The following is a 19,981-nucleotide window of genomic DNA, read 5'->3' as shown; positions in this document are numbered from 1 at the left end:
TGTGATTTCAGGCAAAGTCCCTGGACAATTTCTTCAACATCAGAGCTCTCCTGACCTGAGGCCAGAACACTGGACTTTCATTGTCTTTCACCATCAATCATTGTTTTAAAACCACCCTGGGGGAATGCAAACTCTCAGGCACTTCCAGTTCCCTGTGTGCATAGCTCAGTAGCCTGAGGGAAGTCTTAGAAATAAAAGTCCCTGATGAGGCCACAGGAAGCAATAGCACAAGGAAACAAGCACAAAGACACACAGAAATAGTCAAAGGGATTCAGAGGGCATCTGGTTTTAGCTGGTTTGAGTGGCTACCTTTACCTACAATGAAAAGGACTTGTATTAATGCATAGACATAGTTCAAGAGACTAATCAATAAAAAAGAAGAGCAAGATTTTGATAAAAATGGAAAAATCTCTTCCTGAAAGCACTCTTGGGCACATTCCTAAGTTCATATCAGATAAAATTGCATGTTTAAGCTTTTCTAACAACCTAAGACAAACGTTCAACCTTAAAAGTGTATTCTTTAAGTGGAGAGAGGCCAAAAACTCCATTTTGTGGAACTTCAGCTTGTTGGGAACAGGTGCTCAGCGTCACAAACATTAACACTGAGACAAAGGATCTCTCAGTAAGGCTACTTTACTTTCTGCAGAAAGGGTACACTCACCAGCAGTTTTGCCAGGAGAGTACAACGAAAAAAGGAGACAGGGTCATTTATAACCTGACACGTCCATCCTACTGCTGTGTCCGGTTTCCACTGGCTGGAACGGGACCTTACATTCTGTATTTGTCCCGATTGGCTAGCAACTTAGAACTTTCCAAAAGAGGCAAAGGCAGAGGAGAACAAAGGAAGGAGGAAGTAACTTGTGGAATGCTGAGAAAGGTAAGAACACCTTCAAATAAGGAAGTGGAACAGGCTATGACCTAATGCTTGCTTGGACCAGTATAAGCATGTGAGGGCAAATATTTAGGGTAAAATGTGGGAGCTAAGAACACAAAGTACATTGATTCTCTATTATGGCTAGCAGATATCTAAGAATGTTAGCATAGGTCTTTGAATAAATTTTGCTTCTAAGAGAAGTTACTGTTTATTCCTAATTGGACAGGGAGGAGTCTCTTTGAAGAGGAACCTCTACTTCACTTTTTACAAGCTAAAGACCTACTGGACATTCTTAGATGGATCTTTACAGTGATCTATGGACCTAAAGTAAGAATTTATCCATAGCTTGGTGCCAACTTTTGCCTCTGGCTGCCATTACTATTACAAAGTTTTATCTACTAAATTGACTCATATCTAAAAGTACCAGCAGCCACCAAATAATTTTGCATTTAGATGCGTAAGGATGGTTGCTTCCACTTTATTCCCTAAATCAAGCTTGGCATGCTTTTAGTTTTTAAAGTAAATCTGTAGTTTGACTTGAATACCCTCATCCATCATTAGGTAACTTTTAAAAGCTGATGTTATTTCAGGGTGGAATTCTCTTCTACTTCTCTTATCCTCTCATACCCTTAGTTTTTTGTAGTAATAGCCTCATCCCTATAATCAAATCCAGAGACGGGGAGAAGGTAGAGCTGGGAATTCATTTTTCTCCCTACAAATCTTAATTATTCCTCAAAATATTTGTGAAGTAGGAAAGCATGTTTTCAGCACCCATTCCTCACTATCATCCTCTTACCCAATTGTCTGATTAGTTCCTCCTTTTATCTTTTGTTACTGTCTCATCTGGGCATTTAGCCTCCTCATTTTACTCTTCAGTCACTTAGGACCCTGAACTATGAACTCACATCCCTGTTAATCTGGGAAGATGTCTATCCTTTGAATCTTTTCAACTTCCTTTTCTCACATCAAAATATAGTGATGCTGGGTTCCATTTATTCAAGGTCATTCTTTTTCTTCTGCTAGGAAACAGCTAGATTATCTTGCAACCTAGTCTGCTGTAATGGATTAATGAAAGGCAATGTGCTAGTTCCTTATCTCCTGAAAAACACCTGAAAAATTTTAGAAGGATATTTTATAAGACCGCTTTTAAAATGAAGTAGTGCAAAATAGCAGAAAGAGTAAAAGAATTTAGAATTTGAAATTAGAGTGACATGGGATCCATGACTCCTATTCATTTCCTAAGAAATCTTCTACAAATTACTTAACCTCTCTGAACCTTCTATCCTGCCTTTACTGTAAAAAATGGATACTAACACTTACCTTCAACTTTTGTTGTGCTGTAAAATGAAAAATTGTAAAAGTACTCAAGATATTGGCTGCTGTACAGTAGGTGTCTTACACATTGTAGCTAATAAGTAAACAATATTGTAAGCCAAATAAGTGACTCAAAATCAATTACTGGTCAATGCTAATAATCTTAATGAACAAATATTTCTTAAACACTTTGTGTAGGAAGAAAAAAATACAAGTGGTACCTATGAAATAATATTCTACTTTACCTAGGCACGATGCCAGTTCTTCTCCAGCTATTCATCAAACAACCAACTATTCCTTCATTTATTGATTAACTTATTCATGTACCTATTAAGTGCAGAAGGCTGGACTGGGTAATATGAAGAATACAAAGATGTATACATAATCCTGTATTGACTTACTGTTGAATGTGACAGAATATTCAGGTATTTTGGATAGGTTAGAAAGATATCTTGATCCTGTCTTCAGTTATTAGCCTAATAAGAATGGAAACAGCTTGCAAAAGTAAGACGCAAGTAGGGTAGCAGCAGGCTCATCTGGGGAATTACTGGTCTGAAGTTTGGGCACAAATTATTGGAGCCAAAGAAGAGAGAAATCTATATCCTTTAGGAAAGTTGAAGTAAAGATCATTTTCAGAGATACAGATAGAATAGATTATGACTCAAGCTTCAGTGGCAAGGTGTGTATACAGTCACAATATATAGAAAACAGACTAGTAGTCAAGGGCACCAGGGGACAGGGCAGGCAAGGTGCAGGGTGGATGAAGTGAGGAGGGTCAAGAAGTAATTCAGATCTGTCTGAATTATAGCAGGGCAGACCCTAGCTCATTTTGCCAGGGTGGGTTTTAGTCACTTACGGAAGCCACACCATTCTGGATGAGGGAATTGGGGAGAAGAGCATGATGAAAAAAGGGTGCAAGGAAAATACTGGAGAATGTTACCATACGAATGTGTGCACAAGATGAAAGAAAAATTAAACTGGCCAACAAAAGTTCAAGGAATGCTCTAATTTAAATATTAGATATTCTAGCATAAAATTTGCAATTCAAGAGAAGCTGGTTCTCCTAAATTTACATCTTTATAAGGTAGACAGACAGGAATTTATATTTTGTCTTTGGCACTTATCAATCGTGTACCATTAGACAAATTATTTAGCCTCCCCACAACTTAGTTATCCCATCTGTAAAATGGGGTGAAGACTAGTACTTGCTTATAGGATGGTGGTGGGCACTACCTGAAATGCTGTGTGTATATGGCTCAGCACAGTGCTAGGTACATAGTAGGTAGGCAATGAGTATAAATTATTTTCGGTTTGGATTCTATGTCTATGCAGAGGTCTCCTCAAGCTTTTGCAACTTGTCATATAATTGGTGTCTATTTTTATGTCTTTTAGATGGTCAAAAAAATAGACCCTCTCACCAAAGTCAAAAAGAGGTCAGATTGAGCCTGAATAATAGTAGCACACTTATGAGTCATTTAATTTCTTTGACATCTCCTTTTCTCATCTAGTTGTGAATTATTTATGACATCTGTGCTCTTGGGAAGAAGTCCAAGCATATAACATATCTCCAGCTCACTCCTGGAGGGTCTTTCCAAGGCCCAGGGTTTCTGCCACTTAGTATGTGCTTACTCAATATTGTCTTGATTAATGGCATTGGAAGTAGAGATAATAGCAGTGCAGAATTAATGGGCTAGATACTTTGTTATTGAACACAATTGTGTAGGGTTGAACTAACAAATAGGTAATGCTTCTGCAAAGTGTGTAAGTAAAAAATATAAAATAAGTAAATAGATTATATATTCATCAGTCTATTTAGAAAAACTTACTGAGTAGCTACTATGTGTCAGACACTGTTCTATGCACTGGTAATATCCAGAACTCTGGATGCAGATATGATATCAAGAACATTGGGTACAGGGGTGATATCCAGATTGCTGGGTGCCGGGGTGATATCCAGAACACTGGGTGCAGGGGTGATATCCAGATTGCTGGGTGCAGAGGTGATATCCAAAACACTGGGTGCAGGAGTGTTATTGAGATCACTGGGTACAGGGTGATAGCCAGGATACTTGACAACCAGTGTCCCTAGAGCATTAGTCAGAACTGACAGTGGTGGTGCTCAAACAGTATCCTGGAGGTGCTCTTCTCTGCCAGGTATGAGCCTTCTGCCAGGTGATGCCTCTCTGAAGCTTCTAGTACCAAGAAGGGGCTGGAGCAGTAGGAGATCATTTGGAGGAGTCACAATAGCAGCTATCCATGAACTAGTCAGAAATAACTTAATATTTTGAAACTTTTGCTTTAATAAGCTGAGCAAACTCTCGCTTCTGGCTGTGACCAAGATAGATAAGGTCCCTTATCACAGGGCTTCCTTTTGGAGGTAAACTTGGTGGCATCAGAGGGTTTCTGTCCTGGGGGAGCTTTGAGTTTGTTCCAGTCTCAGAAGCCAAGTTCCTCAGCTCCACAGCCTGGTGCTTTGATAGTGCCCAAATCTTCATGCCTAAACCCATACTCGGCAAGCATTTTTTATCCTTAGCACCTTTCAGACTTTTTTGAATCTTATATTTACATACAATATATAATTTTCCATAAGTTTCTTCTCAGGAAGAAAACCATTATAAATATGTGGGTCTTTCTAAGTTATTCCATTCTTAAGGCCTTTTTGGTTGTGAGAACACCCTGCCACTAGTACCCCCCAAAAAAGATAGCAGCCAATTTGTCGCCACACATTGACCCTCTGTGCTGTTCCTTTGAGAACTCTTATTATGGAAAAAAAAGATGATTTAACTTGCCTTTATAGGGAGGTAAGCAATAAGTTCTTTGTTCAATCTGTATTTAGAAAAATTGTAAATGCTTCCACGTCAAAGACTAAACTGAGTATTATCCTTCTTTGGTATCCAGAGTGAAAATTCAGGGAGGTATATGGGCAATCAGAAGTGCAGATGTTTTAACCAGAATATAATCAGGGTAAATGTGGCTTGCTGAGGATAATTAAATTTAAGGAAATGGAAAATATAACATTTTAGTCTACAACAAATTCAGTAATATATGTTCTCTTGCAAATGTGCATTATATGATAACAGTAAATTATATCGTGGCTGCTAAAACTTACTAATCAAGTCAGTCTTTTACATGAAAAGAAAGAAATCACAAGTATAGCTGTGGCCCAGGCATTTAATCATAATTGCCTCCTTAATCCATGAAAGAAGCATTTAATAGTTAGAATTGCAAGGATGATAATGCAGCGACAGCAGAGCAATGTATCCAATTTTGCATAACATGTTCATCACAAAACTGTCAGATGAATTGTTATCTGGTGTTGATAGAAAAGGCTGAGAGAACACAGCTTGGCATTGAGGCTCTGGTAGGATTTCGTGTTAGAAAATGAAAACTTTGACATGTAGGTGGAATAAATTTCATGTCCAAGCCATTATGAAAGGATAAATGGAAATTCACATAAAAATCGTTCCTGCTGCAACCCAAGTTCAAGTATCTGTTCTCTCTTTGGTGGTTTTAGATCATAAAGACTTAGAAGACACTTGGACTGCTTCATGTGGAGAAAGCAAGTTTGTCATCCAGCCTATTTCCCAATGATATCTTGAGCTGCTAAATACACTAACAGATATAGAAGCTGATTGCATTTTATTTTAACATATACTATTAATAAATCCCTTGATTAAATAATCATTAATATAAAAATAGAGTAAAAGGCTTAAAGTATTTATAATCAAACCAACTCCAAATATGCAACCTAACTCATTGTGTTTTGTTCTGCATGTCTTAAACCATTGGTTAAGGGAAGATGCTAAGCTCTAAGTTCATCTTCTTGCACCATCTTAGACTTCTTTTTATATCTCTGGCATTGTTCCCATTGCTAAATTGGCACTTATTACTTTGCAACTTAATTATCTCTTATGGCAGCAAAAGAAACTATCAACAGAGTAAACAGACAACCTACAGAATGAGAGAAAATATTCGCGAACTATGCATCAGAGAAAGGTCTAATATCCAGACCCTATAAGGGACTTAATTCAACAAGCAAAAACCAAAAAGCCCCATTAAAAAGTGGCCAAAAGACATGTACAGACACTTCTCAAAAGAAGACCTGCAAGTGACCAGCAGACATAAGAAAAATGCTCAACATCACGAATCATCAGAGAAATGCAAATCAAAACCACAGTGAGATACCAACTCACACCAATCAGAATGGCTATTATTAAAAAGTTAGAAAAACAACGGATGCTGTTGAGGCTGCAGAGAAAAGGGAATGCAGTATGGAGATTTCTCAAAGAACTAAAATAGAACTACCATTTGACCTAGCAATTCCGTTAGTGGGTATATATCTAAAGGAAAATGAATCATTCTACCTAAAAGATACATTCACGTGTATGTTTATTGTAGTGTTACTCACAATAGCAAAAACACGGAGTCAACCAAGGTGCCCATCAACAGAGGATCGGATTAAAAAAAAGTGGTATGTATACAACATGAAATACTATGCAGCCATGAAAAAGAATGAAATTATGTGCTTTGCAGCAACATGGATGTAGCTAGGGGCCATCTCAGCAAATTAATGCAGGAACAGAAAACCAAATACCACTTGTTCTCACTTATAAGTGGAAACTAAATATTGGGTACACATGGACATAAAGATGATACTAAGAGACACTGGTGACTCCTAGAGTGGGGAGGAAGAGATGTGGGCAAGGGTTGAAAAACTATTGAGCATTATGCTTACTACCTGCGTGATGGGATCAATCATACCCCAAATCTCAGCATCACATAATATCTATGTAACAAACCTACACATATACCCCCTGAATCAAAAATAAAAGTTAAAATTATTTCTTAAAAATTATTATTTGTGATGGGCTTAGGACAGATATTTTACTCATTTTTTTATTCTATTAGCATTTAGTGCAGAATCCAGCATTATAAAGAAACTATTAAATAAATAGATGAATAACACTAATAATCAATGAAGAAAATATTGGTTCAAACAGAAGATGGAAGTTTTCCATGGAAGCTTAGTAGTCATTTACTAATTTTTACCAGCTTTTTAATCAACTAGTCATCATTCATTTTCCAAAATCAATTTCCTAGCTTACTGTTGTCTTTAGCCTAGTTTTCAGCTATGTTATATTTATATACAAACAAATACTCATTAGTATTTTCTCAACCAATGTTTAAATGCCCAAGTGCCAGCACTGATCTTGGTAACAGGGATATAAAAAAAATAGTAATAATTCCTACAGGTATAGTAAGCAAAGAATTCCATGGAAGCCCTTGAGAGGAACACTTCATCCACCATGGGACAGACTTAAAAGACTTCTTGGAAGAAGTGTCTTATTAAGTAGGAGTTTTCTAGGTGAAAAAAAGGTAGATAAAGTGAGCAAATATAGTCTTGAGGGTTAGGAACAGCAGAATTTTACAATAGAATTGGTATGTGCTAAGAAATAGAAGTAAAAGTTTAGAGTAATAGTGATTATTTGTGCTATTATTAAGGGCATTTAACAATTATTATTGAAGATATACAATAAAGTTATAATAACCAAGATGATATGGTATTGGCAAAGGAATAGACGAGTAGGCTAATGGAGCAGAAAAGAGCCCAGAAATGGATCCAAACAAATAGAGCAAATTGATCTTTGGCAAAGAAGCCAAGGCAATTCAATGGAGAAAGGATAGTTTTTCAAAAAATGTTGCTGGAACAACTGGACATCCAATGCATAGGTATAAATCTAGACATTGTCCTTACAGATTTCACAGATACGAACACGAAATGGATCATAGACCAAAGTAAAATATTAAACTATAAAAGTACCAGAGTATAACAGGAGAAAATCAAGGAGACATTGGGTTTGAAGATACGTTTTTAAATACAATATCAAAGACATAATCTATGTAAGAAAAAATTGATGCCAGACTTCATAAAATTAAAAAACTGCTTGGCAAAAAAAACACTGTTAAGGGAATGAAAAGACAAGCCACAGGCTAGGAGAAAATATTTGTAAGACTTTTCTGAGAAGGAACTTGAATCCAAAGTATACAGAGAGGCTGGGTGTGATGGCTCATGCCTATAATCTTAGCACTTTGGGAGGCCTAGGCAGGAGGATTGCTTGAAGACAGGAGTTGGAGACCCTGTCTGGACAACAACACGAAACTCTGTCTCTATAAGAAATTAAAAAATATATTTTTGTAAAAGGAAAGAAAATAATAAAAAACAAACTATAGAAAGAATTATTAAAATCACATAGTAAGTAAAAAGTTTCATTTAAAAAATGGACAAGAGATATGGACACTTCACCAAAGAAGATACTTAGATGCCAAATAAGCACATGAAAGATGCTAAAAACCATATATCCTTAGAGAAATGCAAATTAAAACAGCAGTGAGTTCACTACACACCTATTAGAAAAGCTAAAATCCAAAATGCTGTAATAAGTATTGTATATATGCTAAAGGCACCCGGAAAAAGCTTAGGGAGCCCCGTAGAGTGAGCAGTTAACTCTGCCAAAGGGGATCATATCATTTGTGATATCACTAAAATGCTTTATTATCTAAGGTAAAAATTAGTTTATTTTCAAGCAATGTTGTACACTAGCATTAAAGCATAGCAATTTTGCATTAAAATAGAGTAATTTGGATACATCATTATAAAGCACTCCATCAGTCTGTATTCTTAAAATTGTATTTTGTGTTCCATTTGCTTAATTGCAGCTGAATATAGTCCATAATTCTTAAAAAGCTACTTGCCATCAATTTCGTAATAAAGTTCTGACAAAATCCAAAAAAAATTTATCTTTTTTCTTTGTGAATCTATAAAAATATTGATCTTTTACCACATGTATTAGAATACAATAAGAAACACATTGCAAAATTCCTGCCTCTATAGAGATACCAATTAAAAAACTCTAGATGTGCAACAGATATTAAAAGCCAAATAAAACAATGGTTATATTATGAGGCACTAGCACAGTGGTATCACAAGGCTTATGATGGGTTACCAAATGAACTCTGTAATTCATAAATGTTTTATACTTAGAAGAATAAAAAAACTAAGAAATGGTCAGCAAAAATTTTTAAATGAGCTCTAATCTTTGTTTTCTTGATTATATTCTTTACTGTTATTACTAATTCTTATCATAAATTAGTAATCTCAACTTTACCACTTCAAAAACCAATATAAATATTACTATGTAAGACATGTCTTAAACTTTTCCAGATTACTTTTCAGAGATTTATGTTTTATTTGTATACATTTACACAGGAATGGGTCAGATGTATTTAATTTTATTAAACCAATCAATTTGTATTAAAGCCTTAAAAAGTCATATATAAAAATACTCTGCATGTATTAATAATAGCGTATATTTGATTTAAGTCTAACTATGATGCATATAGTACTCTTAGCTTTGGTGTTTTGTTTCACTTGGTTTTTTTACCAACAGCACTAAAACATTGAATCATAAAGTTCTCTTTCGATTTGAACTTTGCTGTCTTGTGAAATTAAAATGCTGCTGTCTACATGCAGTAGCAAACGTACTTTCAAGCTGTAATCAATGATCTGTATATTTGGAATTAGAAATAATTTAAGCCACGGTCTATTCTTCAGTCTTCCATGGACCGCTATTTATACAAGAATGTTACCTTATGTTATTGGTTTAACTGTTTTATTAAGTCTACTTCAATATTTTAGCACAATTAAAAATCAATACTTATTTAAAAAATCCAAAATGGTGATGACACCAAATATCTGCAAGGATGTGGAGTGAGAGGAGCTCTCATTCGTTTGCTGGTTGGAATGCAAAATGGTGCTTTGGAAGAGAGTTTGGTAGTTTCTTACAATGTTAAACACAGTCTTACCACGTGATCTACCAGCTGCCCTCCTAGGTACTTACCCAAATGAATGGAAAACAAACTATGGTACACCCATGTGTAGAGGTCAACGGAAAATTTTGCCCTCTGCAATTTTGCTGAAAAATCATCTGACAAAAGGCATATAGGAGAAATAACATACAAATTTATTGGTGTGCATAAGGGAATTTACAGAGTGATTACCTGATATCCCAGTGGGGTTCAGATACTTACATAACCTTATTTCAGAATGGAGAGAGAGAGAGAGATATGGGGAATACAGGTAATTCTTTTGGGAGCAATAAACGATTACTAGGGAGGACAAATGGATCCCGAAACAGAGGTTAACTTGGAAATGGTTCTCTTTGAGAGCTGAATGAGCCTGAGAGACAGATACTGTCTCGTGAAGGGTCTGTTCAGGTGTGGTTATATTCTTGGTCTTGTTTTCTGCAATAGATAATGAGATAACAGAGAAGGGAAGGAAAAACAATTGTTCTCCTTGGTGGGTTCCTGCTGTCTTTATTTAGATAGCAGGGAAAGGCTCTTCTAGCATCTGTCGATCTCCAAGGGCCTTTAATTCAAAATACTCATTATACCATGGAGCCACATTTTATGATGAAGTTCCTGGGGCTCTTTCACATACAATGGAATATGATTCAACAATAAAAAGAAAATTGAACTATCAAGCCACAAAATGACATGGAGGAACCTTAAATGAATATTGCTTAGTGAGAGAAAACAGCCTGAAAAGCCTACATACTATATAATTCCAATGATATGACATTCTGGAAAAGGCAAAACTGTAGAGATAGTAAAATGATCAGTGGTTGTCAGGGGTTTGGGAAGAAGACAGGAAAGATGAATGGGTGAAGTACTTGACAGTTTCTGACCAGTTAAACTAAATACTAAGTATTTACAGAAAATATTTACACACAATTATTTATCATACAGCTATGATACTACCATGATAGATATGTGACATTATACATTTGTCAAAACACATCAAACAGTGTTAAACCAAAAGTGAACCCTAAACTATGGACTTTAGTTAAAAACAATGTATCATTATTGGTTCATCAATAGTAACAAATACCACATGAATGCAAGATATTAATAATAGAAGAAACTGAGTTGGAGGAGAGAGGGAGTATATGGGAATTATCTCTAATAGCTGCTCAATTTTCTGTAAGCCTAAAATTACTCCAAAAATAGTGTATTAATTATAAAAATATTCTTAAGATGTTTCTCAAGTATTAATGTTCTATGTAAAAATAATTTGTATAGACAAATTACTTTCATTAATTGGTAGACTAAATTGAGGTTACCGAAAACTTTTGACTCTAAAAAAGTAAAACCACCAGGAATTGTGAGCTTTCAGCCAGTGATAAGATCATAGGTCTAGAGATTAGAATAACTTGGACCTTGTAGACAGAATAAACTTTGCTTGGTGAACAATATTTTGGCTGGAAAATCTAGAGAAGAAATGTCTCCATTCATCGGGAGTGTTTTTCTCTGTGTTGCTGCTTATTTAATAAGAGATAAGCATGTTATTTAAAATGTTGCCCCTTGTTTTTTCCCATAAGAAACATCAAAAAAAGACTCAGTGTCTCTGGAACAATTACCATCACCCTAAAATGTAACCACTTCTGAGATAAATGATGAAAATTGCTGGCTTAATATTCACAAAACAGGTTACCATACCCAGCTGAAACTATGAAAATCAGTTAGGTAGAAAAAATGTAATTACCAAAGTCAGATATTAGCAAGCACAGTTCTAATTTGAGTATGACTCCTCTATTCAAATTAAACTTTATAATTACCAACGGTTTAATTCTTTCTTCTAATCTCATCATATATGATGAAACTTCAAAAATTTCATGGAGAGCTGGGTGCCGTGGCTCACACCTGTAATCCCAGCACTTTGGGAGGCCAAGGCAGGCAGATCACTTGAGGCCAGTAGCTCAAGACCAGCCTGACCAATACGGTGAAACCCCGTCTCTACTAAAAATACAAAAATTAGTCAGGCATGGTAGCATACAACTATAGTCCCAACTACTTTGGGAGGCTGAGGCACAAGAATCATTTGAACCCGGGAGGTGGAGGTTGCAGTGAGCCAAGATTGTGCCACTGAACACCAGCCTGGGTTACAGAGTGAGACTCTGTCTCAAAAAAAAAAAAAAAAAAAGAGAAAAGACAAGACAATTCATGGAAAATAGAATTAAAAGATAAAAATATAAAATATAAACTTCTCAACATAAAAGTCAGGACACTTTTGTAAGCAATAATACCACCCATGTAGTCTATCCCTGAAGAACTGAAGGTCCTAGGAATTTAACCATATCAAAGAAGTCGTTTTTACATTATTAACTGAAGAAAAATGGGTGCCTTTACAGATTTTTTTTAAGATTAGGAAACAAAAACAAGTCAGAAGCCAAAGCAGGACTCTTTAATAATTTCCCATTGAAACTCTCACGAGATTGCTCTGTTTGATGAGAAGGAGCAGGAACATTGTCATGGTGGAAGAGGACTCTCTGGTGAAGCTTTCCCTGGGTATTTTTTCTGCTAAAGCTTTGGCTAACTTTCTCAAAACGTTCTTGTAATAAGATGTTATCATCGTTCACTGCTCCTCCAGAAAGTCAACAAGGAAAATGCCTCCAGCATTCCCCAAATCTGTTGTCATGACCTTTGCTCTTGAACAGTCTGCTTTAACTTTGGACCACTTCTTTCTACCTCGTGGTAGCTGTTACTTTGATTGTAGTTTGTCTTCAGGATCATATCTGTAAAACCACGTTTCATCTCCTGTTACAATTATTTGAAAAAATACTTCAGAATCTTGATTCTACTTGCATAAAATTTCCATTGAAAGTTCTGATCTTGTTTGCAGCTGATCTGGGCTCAACTATTACAGCACATGTTGAGTGGAATGTTCACTCAAATTTGATTTTTACTTTTAAATCTTTAATCCATCTCGAGTTGATTTTTGTGGATGGCGAGAGATAGGGGTCTAGTTTCATCTTCTGTTTATGGACTCTAGTTTTCCCAGCACCATTTATTTAAGAGAGGGTCCTTACTCCAATGTATGTTCTTGGTGTCTTTGTTGAAAAATCAGTTGGCTGAAAATATATAGATTAATTTCTGGGTTCTTTATTATGTTCCATTGGTCTGTGACTGTTTTTATGCCAGTACTATGCTGTTTTGGTTACAGTAGCTTTGTAGTATATTTTGAAGTCTAACAGTGTGGTGCCTCCACATTTGTTCTTTCTGCTCAGTATTACTGTGACTATTTGGGGTCTTTTGTGGTTCCATAGGAATTTTAGAATTCTTTTACTGTTTCTATAAGGAATGTCTTTGGTATTTTGATGGGAATTGCATTGAATCTGTAGATTGCTTTGAGTAGTACAGTCGTTTTAACAACATTAATTCTTCTGATCCAGGATCATGGGATATCTTTTCATTTGTTTTTGTCTTCAGTTTCTTTCATCAGTATTTTATAATTTCAATTTTGAGGTTTTCACTTTCTTGGCTAAGTGTATTCCTGAGCATTTTATTTTTATTTTTTGTAGCTCTAGTAAATGGGGTTTCTTTTTCAGCTAGTTGTTTATTAGTGTCTAGAAACACTACTGATTTTTGTGTGTTGATTTTGCATCGTAAAACTTTACTGAATTTGTTGACTAGTTCTAAGAGTTTTGGGGTCGAATCTTCAGGTTTTTCTATATATAAGATCATGTCATCTGCCAAGAGGAACAATTTGACTTCCTCTTTTTCAATTATTTTTTCCTCTTGCCTGGCTGTGTCTAGGACTTCCAGTACTGTGTTGAATAAGAGTGCTGAAAGTGGGCATCCTAGTCATGTTCCAGTTCTTAGAGGAAAGGTTTTGAGCTTTTCCTCATTCTGTGTGATGTTAGCTGTGAGTTTGTCATATATCAGCTTCCTTTGATGCCTAATGTGTTGAGAGCTTTAATCATGAAGGGATGTTGAATTCAATTACTTTTTCTTCTAAGAAAAGTAATTAAATTCAACATCCTTCGTGAATAAATCTGTTTTATGATCATTTATAATGTGCAAACCAATAAATGTGATATATTATTACATCAGTAGAATGAAGGACAAAACTTCATAATCATCTTGTAATGATGTATGTGTCACATTTACTGGTTTGCACATGTTGAACCATTCTTGCATCCCTTGGCTAAATTCCACTTGATCATGGTTTGTTGTCTTTTTGATACGTTGTTGGATGCAGTTTGCTAGTATTTTCTTGAGGATTGTTGCATCTACGTTCATCAGGAATACTGGCATGCAGTTTTCTTTATTTGTTGTAGCCTAGTCTGGTTTTGGTGTCAGGATAATGCTGATCTCATAAAATAAATTAAGAAAAATTCCCTCCTTTTCAATGTTTTTGGAATAGTTGAGAAGAATTGATGTTAGTTATTTATAAGTTTGGTAGAATTCAGCAGTAAAGCCATTTGGTCCTGGGACTTTCCTTGTTAGGAGACTTTTTTTATTACTGTTTCCATCTCATTATTCATTATTGGTCTGTTCAGAATTTCTCTTTCTTCCTGGTTTAATGTTGGTGGTTTGTATGCCCAGGAATTTAGCAATTTTCTCTAGGTTTTTCAGTTTGTTAGTGTATAGTTGTTCATGATAGTCCCTGGTGATCTTTTGTATTTCTGTGGTATTAGTTGTAATGCCTCTTTTGTGTTTCTGATTTTATTTATTGGACATTTACTCTTTTTTTCTTGGCAGTGTAACTAGCAGTTTATCAACTTATCCTTTTTTAAAAAAAAACTTTTCATTTTCTTGATCCTTTGTATTTATTTTTAGCCTCTATTACATTCAGGCCTATTTTGATCTTTATTATTTCTCTTCTACTAATTTTGGGTTTGCCTTTCCTAATTATTTGAGGTGCATCTTTAGACTGTTTATTTTAATTTTTTCTACTTTTTTAATTTAGGCATTTATTGCTATCATCTCTCTCAGCACTGCTTTTGCTGTACCCCATAGGTTTTTGATATGTTGTATTTTAATTTTTTCTTGTTTTAATATTTTTAAATTTCCTCTTTAATTTCTTCCTTGACCCATGAGCATGTTGCTTAATTTCCATGTATTTGTACAGTTTCCAAAGTTTCTCTTGTTATTAATTTCTAGTTTTATTTCATTATGGTCTTACAAGACACTTTATATAATTTTAAATTTTAAAATCTATTGAGACCTGTTTTGTGTCCTAATATATGGTCTATCCTACAGAATGCTCCATGTGCTGATGAGAAGAATGTGTAGTCTGCAGCTGTTAGATAAAATATTTTGTAAATGTCTCTTGGCAGATTAAGTCTGATGTTTCTTTGTTGATTTTCTGAATAGATGATCTGTCCAATACTGAAAGTGGGATGTTGAAGTCCCCAGCTATTATTGGATTGGAATGCAAATCTCTCTTCAGTCTAATAATGTTTGCTTTATTCATCTACATGCTCTAGTGTTGGGTGCATATATATTTTGGTTTCTATTTGCACGGAATATGTTTTTCCCATTTTAAAACTTTCAGTCCATGTGTGTCTTTAGAGTTAAAGTGAGTTTCTTGTAGGCAGCATATGGTTAGGTCTTAAAAAAATCAATTCAACCAGTCTATATCTTTTAATTGGAGAATTTAAACCATTTACATATGTTGTTATTGACAGATGAGGACTTGCTCATGTTATGTTGTTAATTGTTTTCTTTTTCATCTTTTTTTAAGTTTTATTTTTTCTTCTTTTTTTAGAGACAGGGTCTCATGCTGTTGCCCAGGCTGGACTCTAGTGGCACAGCCATAGCTCACTGCGGTCATGAATTCCTAGGCTCACGTGATTGTCCTGCCTTAACCTTCCAAGTAGCTAGTACTACAGGAAAACACCATTACACCTGACTAATTTTTAAATGTTCTGTAGAGATGGGATCCTTCTATGTAGCCCAGGCTAGTCTCAAATTCCTGGCCACAAGCAGTCCTCCTTGATTGTTCTGTATATCCTTTGTTTTGTTCTTCTTCTTTTATTGTTTGCTTGTATGAGTTGGTGGTTATTTTGTAGCAATAAAATTTGACTCCTTTCTCTTTCTCATTTGTATATTTGCTCTACCAGTTAGTTTTATACTTTTGTGTGTTTTTATGATATTATATATTGTCCTTTGCTTCCAGATATAGCACTGCCTTAAGCATTTCTTGTTGTGCTGGTCTAGTGATGATGAATTTCCTCAGTTTTTCCTTGTCTAGGACTTTATTTTTCCTTCATTTTTGAATAATAGCTTGGCTGGGTATAGTGTTCTTGGCTGACATTTTTTTTTTCTTGCAGCACTTTGAATATATCACCTTATTCTCTCCCAGCCTACAAGGTTTCTGCTGAGAAATCCACTGTTAGTCTGATGAGGATTCCATTATAAGTGAGTTAACAATTTGCTCTTGCTGTTTTCAGAATTCTCTTTGTGTTTGACTTTTGACAGTTTGATGATAATATGCCTTGGAGAAGAGTTCTTTGGGCTGAATCTGTTTAGGAATTCTTGAGCTGCATATATCTGGATGTCTATAACTGTTGCAAGATGTGGGAAGTTTTTAGTTATTATTTTGTTGTTCAAATTGTAATTTTGAGGGGAGACAGTTGCTTCAGAGTCCTACTCTGCCATCATGTTCCACTCTCAAAAGTTTGCTGATCCCCAAATTCCTGTCTCTGGTCTAAACTTCTCTCTTACACTCCAAACTAATGCAGCCACTCCTGCTGACTGGGAGATCATTAGATAGTTTGATAGCAACATATCAAAAATATGTTTCCTCCCAACCTGCTGTACATTTACGTTTCCCCGTCTCAGTTGGTAACAATTACTTAGGCCAGAAACTTTGAGATTCAGTCCTTCTCTTTCTCTTCCACCCCTCAGCCAATACGTAAGAAAATCTCGTCTCTATCTCTAAATTATAGTCAGAGTCTTTTTAATTTTTTTACCACCTCTGAATTACCATCCTGCTCCAATTCATCTTTATCTCTTGTCTTTATTACTGCAATCGCCTCCTTCCATATTTTCCTGCTTCTACACTTTCCTCTTTATAGCTGTTCTCAACGTAACAGCCAGATTGAGCCTTTAAATTAGATTACGCCACTGCTCTGCTCAAAACTCTCCAGTGGCTCTATTTCCATCTGGTAAAAGCCAAAGTTCTAACACTTGTAACGCTCTAAATGATCCAGGTACATGTTACCTCTCTCAATTCATGTCCTATCATTCTCTCCCAAGGTTACAAGATGTAGTTGAAGTTGTATTTTGAGAAAAATTTATGGACTTGAATACTTTTGCTATTAATAAGAAAAAATTCAAAATCATTAATTAAACATTCAGTATAGGAAACAAAAAAAGCAATCAAATTTTACCTCATCTTTGATTAGTGAGAATATGGGTAATTTATATTTTTATCTTTTTACTTTTATGTTATTTTCCACAATATCATATATAAGTTTTAAAATTAGTAAAAAAATTTTGTTAGTACAAAATGAAAAATTTGGGTTTGAAAAAGAGAGACTTATTAATAATAGAGAACAAAGTTAGGAAGAACCCATTAAGCATGGAAAAGAAGAATGTAATTCCAGTTTTATAGTTGGTGCACTGTTTTAGCCATAGTAGGATTGAAATAATCAGGGAAAAGTTAGGATGACATCAAAGAAGTCTCAGGAAGATAATATCAAGTAGAACAGAGACAAGCCAAGAAAGCAGAAGGAAAGCTCACAAGTTTAACCCAGCTGGCAGTCACAAGAATTTTATTAAGTGTGGGAAAAGTATATTATATAGAGGGAGCATAGGAAATATGCCTGGGTTGAGAACCAGCTCAGATTATTTTCTGGAAAAAGTAAAATGAGCCGTTAACATTTGGCATCACATATAGTGTGAGTTGCCTTGTAGAATGCACTGGCACAGTGTTGTCTATTCTTTCAGTGCTGGATTAGTTTTTAAAGTACTTGTGTTCCAGTTATTTTCTGAATATTTACCAGCTGTAGGGCCCTGGGAAAATTGTGTAATCTGGTTGAACAATATTTTTTTAAATTTAAAAATGGGTATCCAAATATCTGCCTTCCCTATGTTGTAAAATTGTGGTGAAAATAAAAATGTATCATTATGAAAAGTGCCTTGAAAATCACAATGTGTTATTTAAATGTAATAATTTGTAGTTTATTAACAGTAGTCTATGCTGGTGTCTGTTAAAGCCAGGTTTGAATCTAATAGAGTGACCCCTGTTCTCCAAAACCAATAGTATAATCAGGAATTTAATAATATTAAATGAAACATATGATGATAAACTGTTTTGAATGTTGAGAGAATATATGGTATTTAATTGAGGGTTCCTGAGCTGTCTGGGACTAAGGATAATAAATCATATTGTAACTCAAATATCTTCTGTTAGTATTTCTCCCTGTTCTTACCCCCACCTCAGTGTCTAATAGATTTACATTCAATTTTGCATTTTCAGGAGATCTTGTAAAGATCACAGGGGTGTTTGCTCAAGATTTTTCAGTAGACAAAAGGAACCTATTAAGCAGCGAGGTCTAATTGTTAATTGAGAGTAAACGAGGCTGATCTTTATCAAATGTAAGGAGGATAAAAGAAGTTATAAGAGGTAGGGCATGAAATATGTAAGTTAATCCCTGGAAAATGCACAGATACTCCGGTTTAAATGGTTGGTAGCCTCTCTTGTGTTGATTACCTTTGTGAACATAGGCTTCTGGATATTAGTCGTTTTTATATGGTGTATACTAGGGATGATAAAATGTGTATGTAGAGCTCTGACCACTCCACAGTCCTTTAGACTCAAGTACCCAAGTACCTGCTAGACAACTTCATTTAGTTGTTTCACAGGCATATGAAACTTAACATACCTGAAACAGAATTGTTGATTTTTCCTCTAAAATCTGTTTTTCTCTTAGTCTTCCCATCTTAAAATGACCACTATCCACTCAATTGTTAAACCAAAACTTCGTTATAATCCCTGATTCTTCATTTGCCTCCCACCTCTAGAATCTATTCTTATCACTTTGATTCATCTTTATGGTTGCCACCCTAGTCCAAGTCAACGTTTTGCACATAGATTTCAATAGCCTCCTACCAATCTCTGTGCTTCCTCTCAAGCTGCCCTGCCCCTGCCCCTGCCATGAAATCTATTCTGTTTAACAGCTAAGATGATCTTTTTGAAAACAAAAAAGAATCATGTTACTCTCTTAAAGCACTACTATAACTTTCCATCACTATTATTATAAAATCCAAACTCTTTACCATGAGCTATAGCAGGGTTGATGTTCATTCAGGATGTGCTGGAACAGTCTTATCAATCGTTTTCAGACAGCATACATTCCAATTGGCTGCTGCCTATGCCATGAGTTAAGCATTTTGCCCATCACTCCTCCTTCTAAGGCCGTACATGAGCCTGTGGTTCTCAGTTACAGAGTTTCAAATGTCCCAGAGTAAATTTGGTGATATCTGGAAATATTTTTTGTTGTCATGACTGGGACGTGCTACTGGCATTCATTGGGTAGAGGCTAAGGAATAATGTTAAATATCTTACAAGATACAGGACAGCACCCTGCAGCACAGAATTATTTGGTCTCAATATCAATAATATCCAAGTTGAGACAACTTGGGTAGTAACCCAAGTTAAGGTATTAACCCTTAGATAACTCTCTTATCCCTGCCTGCCTCACCCATACTATCCTCTCCCTCACTCATTATGTTGCACTGGCCCTCGTGCTCTGCCTGGCAAATTCACTACCATCCCAGGGGTTCTCTATCATATAACCTGCTTAATTTTTTTTCCATGGCACTGAAATATCTAAAATTACCTTGTTTTGTTATTTTATTTGCTGGTTCTTCACTGTCACTCCCACTTGGATTGTCAGCTGCATGACAGAAGAAAATGTTTCTCTTCCCCAGCATGGAAAACAG

At 35.5% G+C, this 19,981-nt stretch overlaps 1 protein-coding gene and 1 long non-coding RNA gene across 3 annotated transcripts in view; one reads left to right on the top strand and one right to left on the bottom strand.

Annotated features, from left to right (window-relative positions):
• NREP-AS1 (NREP antisense RNA 1) overlaps nucleotides 1-2,802 on the bottom strand; it is a 104,799-nt gene extending 101,997 nt beyond the window's left edge. Inside the window, exon 1 of the long non-coding RNA NR_046678.1 lies at nucleotides 2,590-2,802. This is a non-coding gene — a long non-coding RNA (NREP antisense RNA 1). The remainder of the gene's footprint in view (nucleotides 1-2,589) is intronic.
• Nucleotides 1-19,981, top strand: part of NREP (neuronal regeneration related protein) — a 248,131-nt gene that overhangs the window by 61,623 nt on the left and 166,527 nt on the right. The window lies entirely within an intron of this gene.

The sequence above is a fragment of the Homo sapiens genome, chromosome 5 (assembly GCF_000001405.40).
Source record: "Homo sapiens chromosome 5, GRCh38.p14 Primary Assembly".
Taxonomy (NCBI): Eukaryota; Metazoa; Chordata; class Mammalia; order Primates; family Hominidae; genus Homo; species Homo sapiens.
This window is presented reverse-complemented; position numbering and strand designations above follow the sequence as displayed.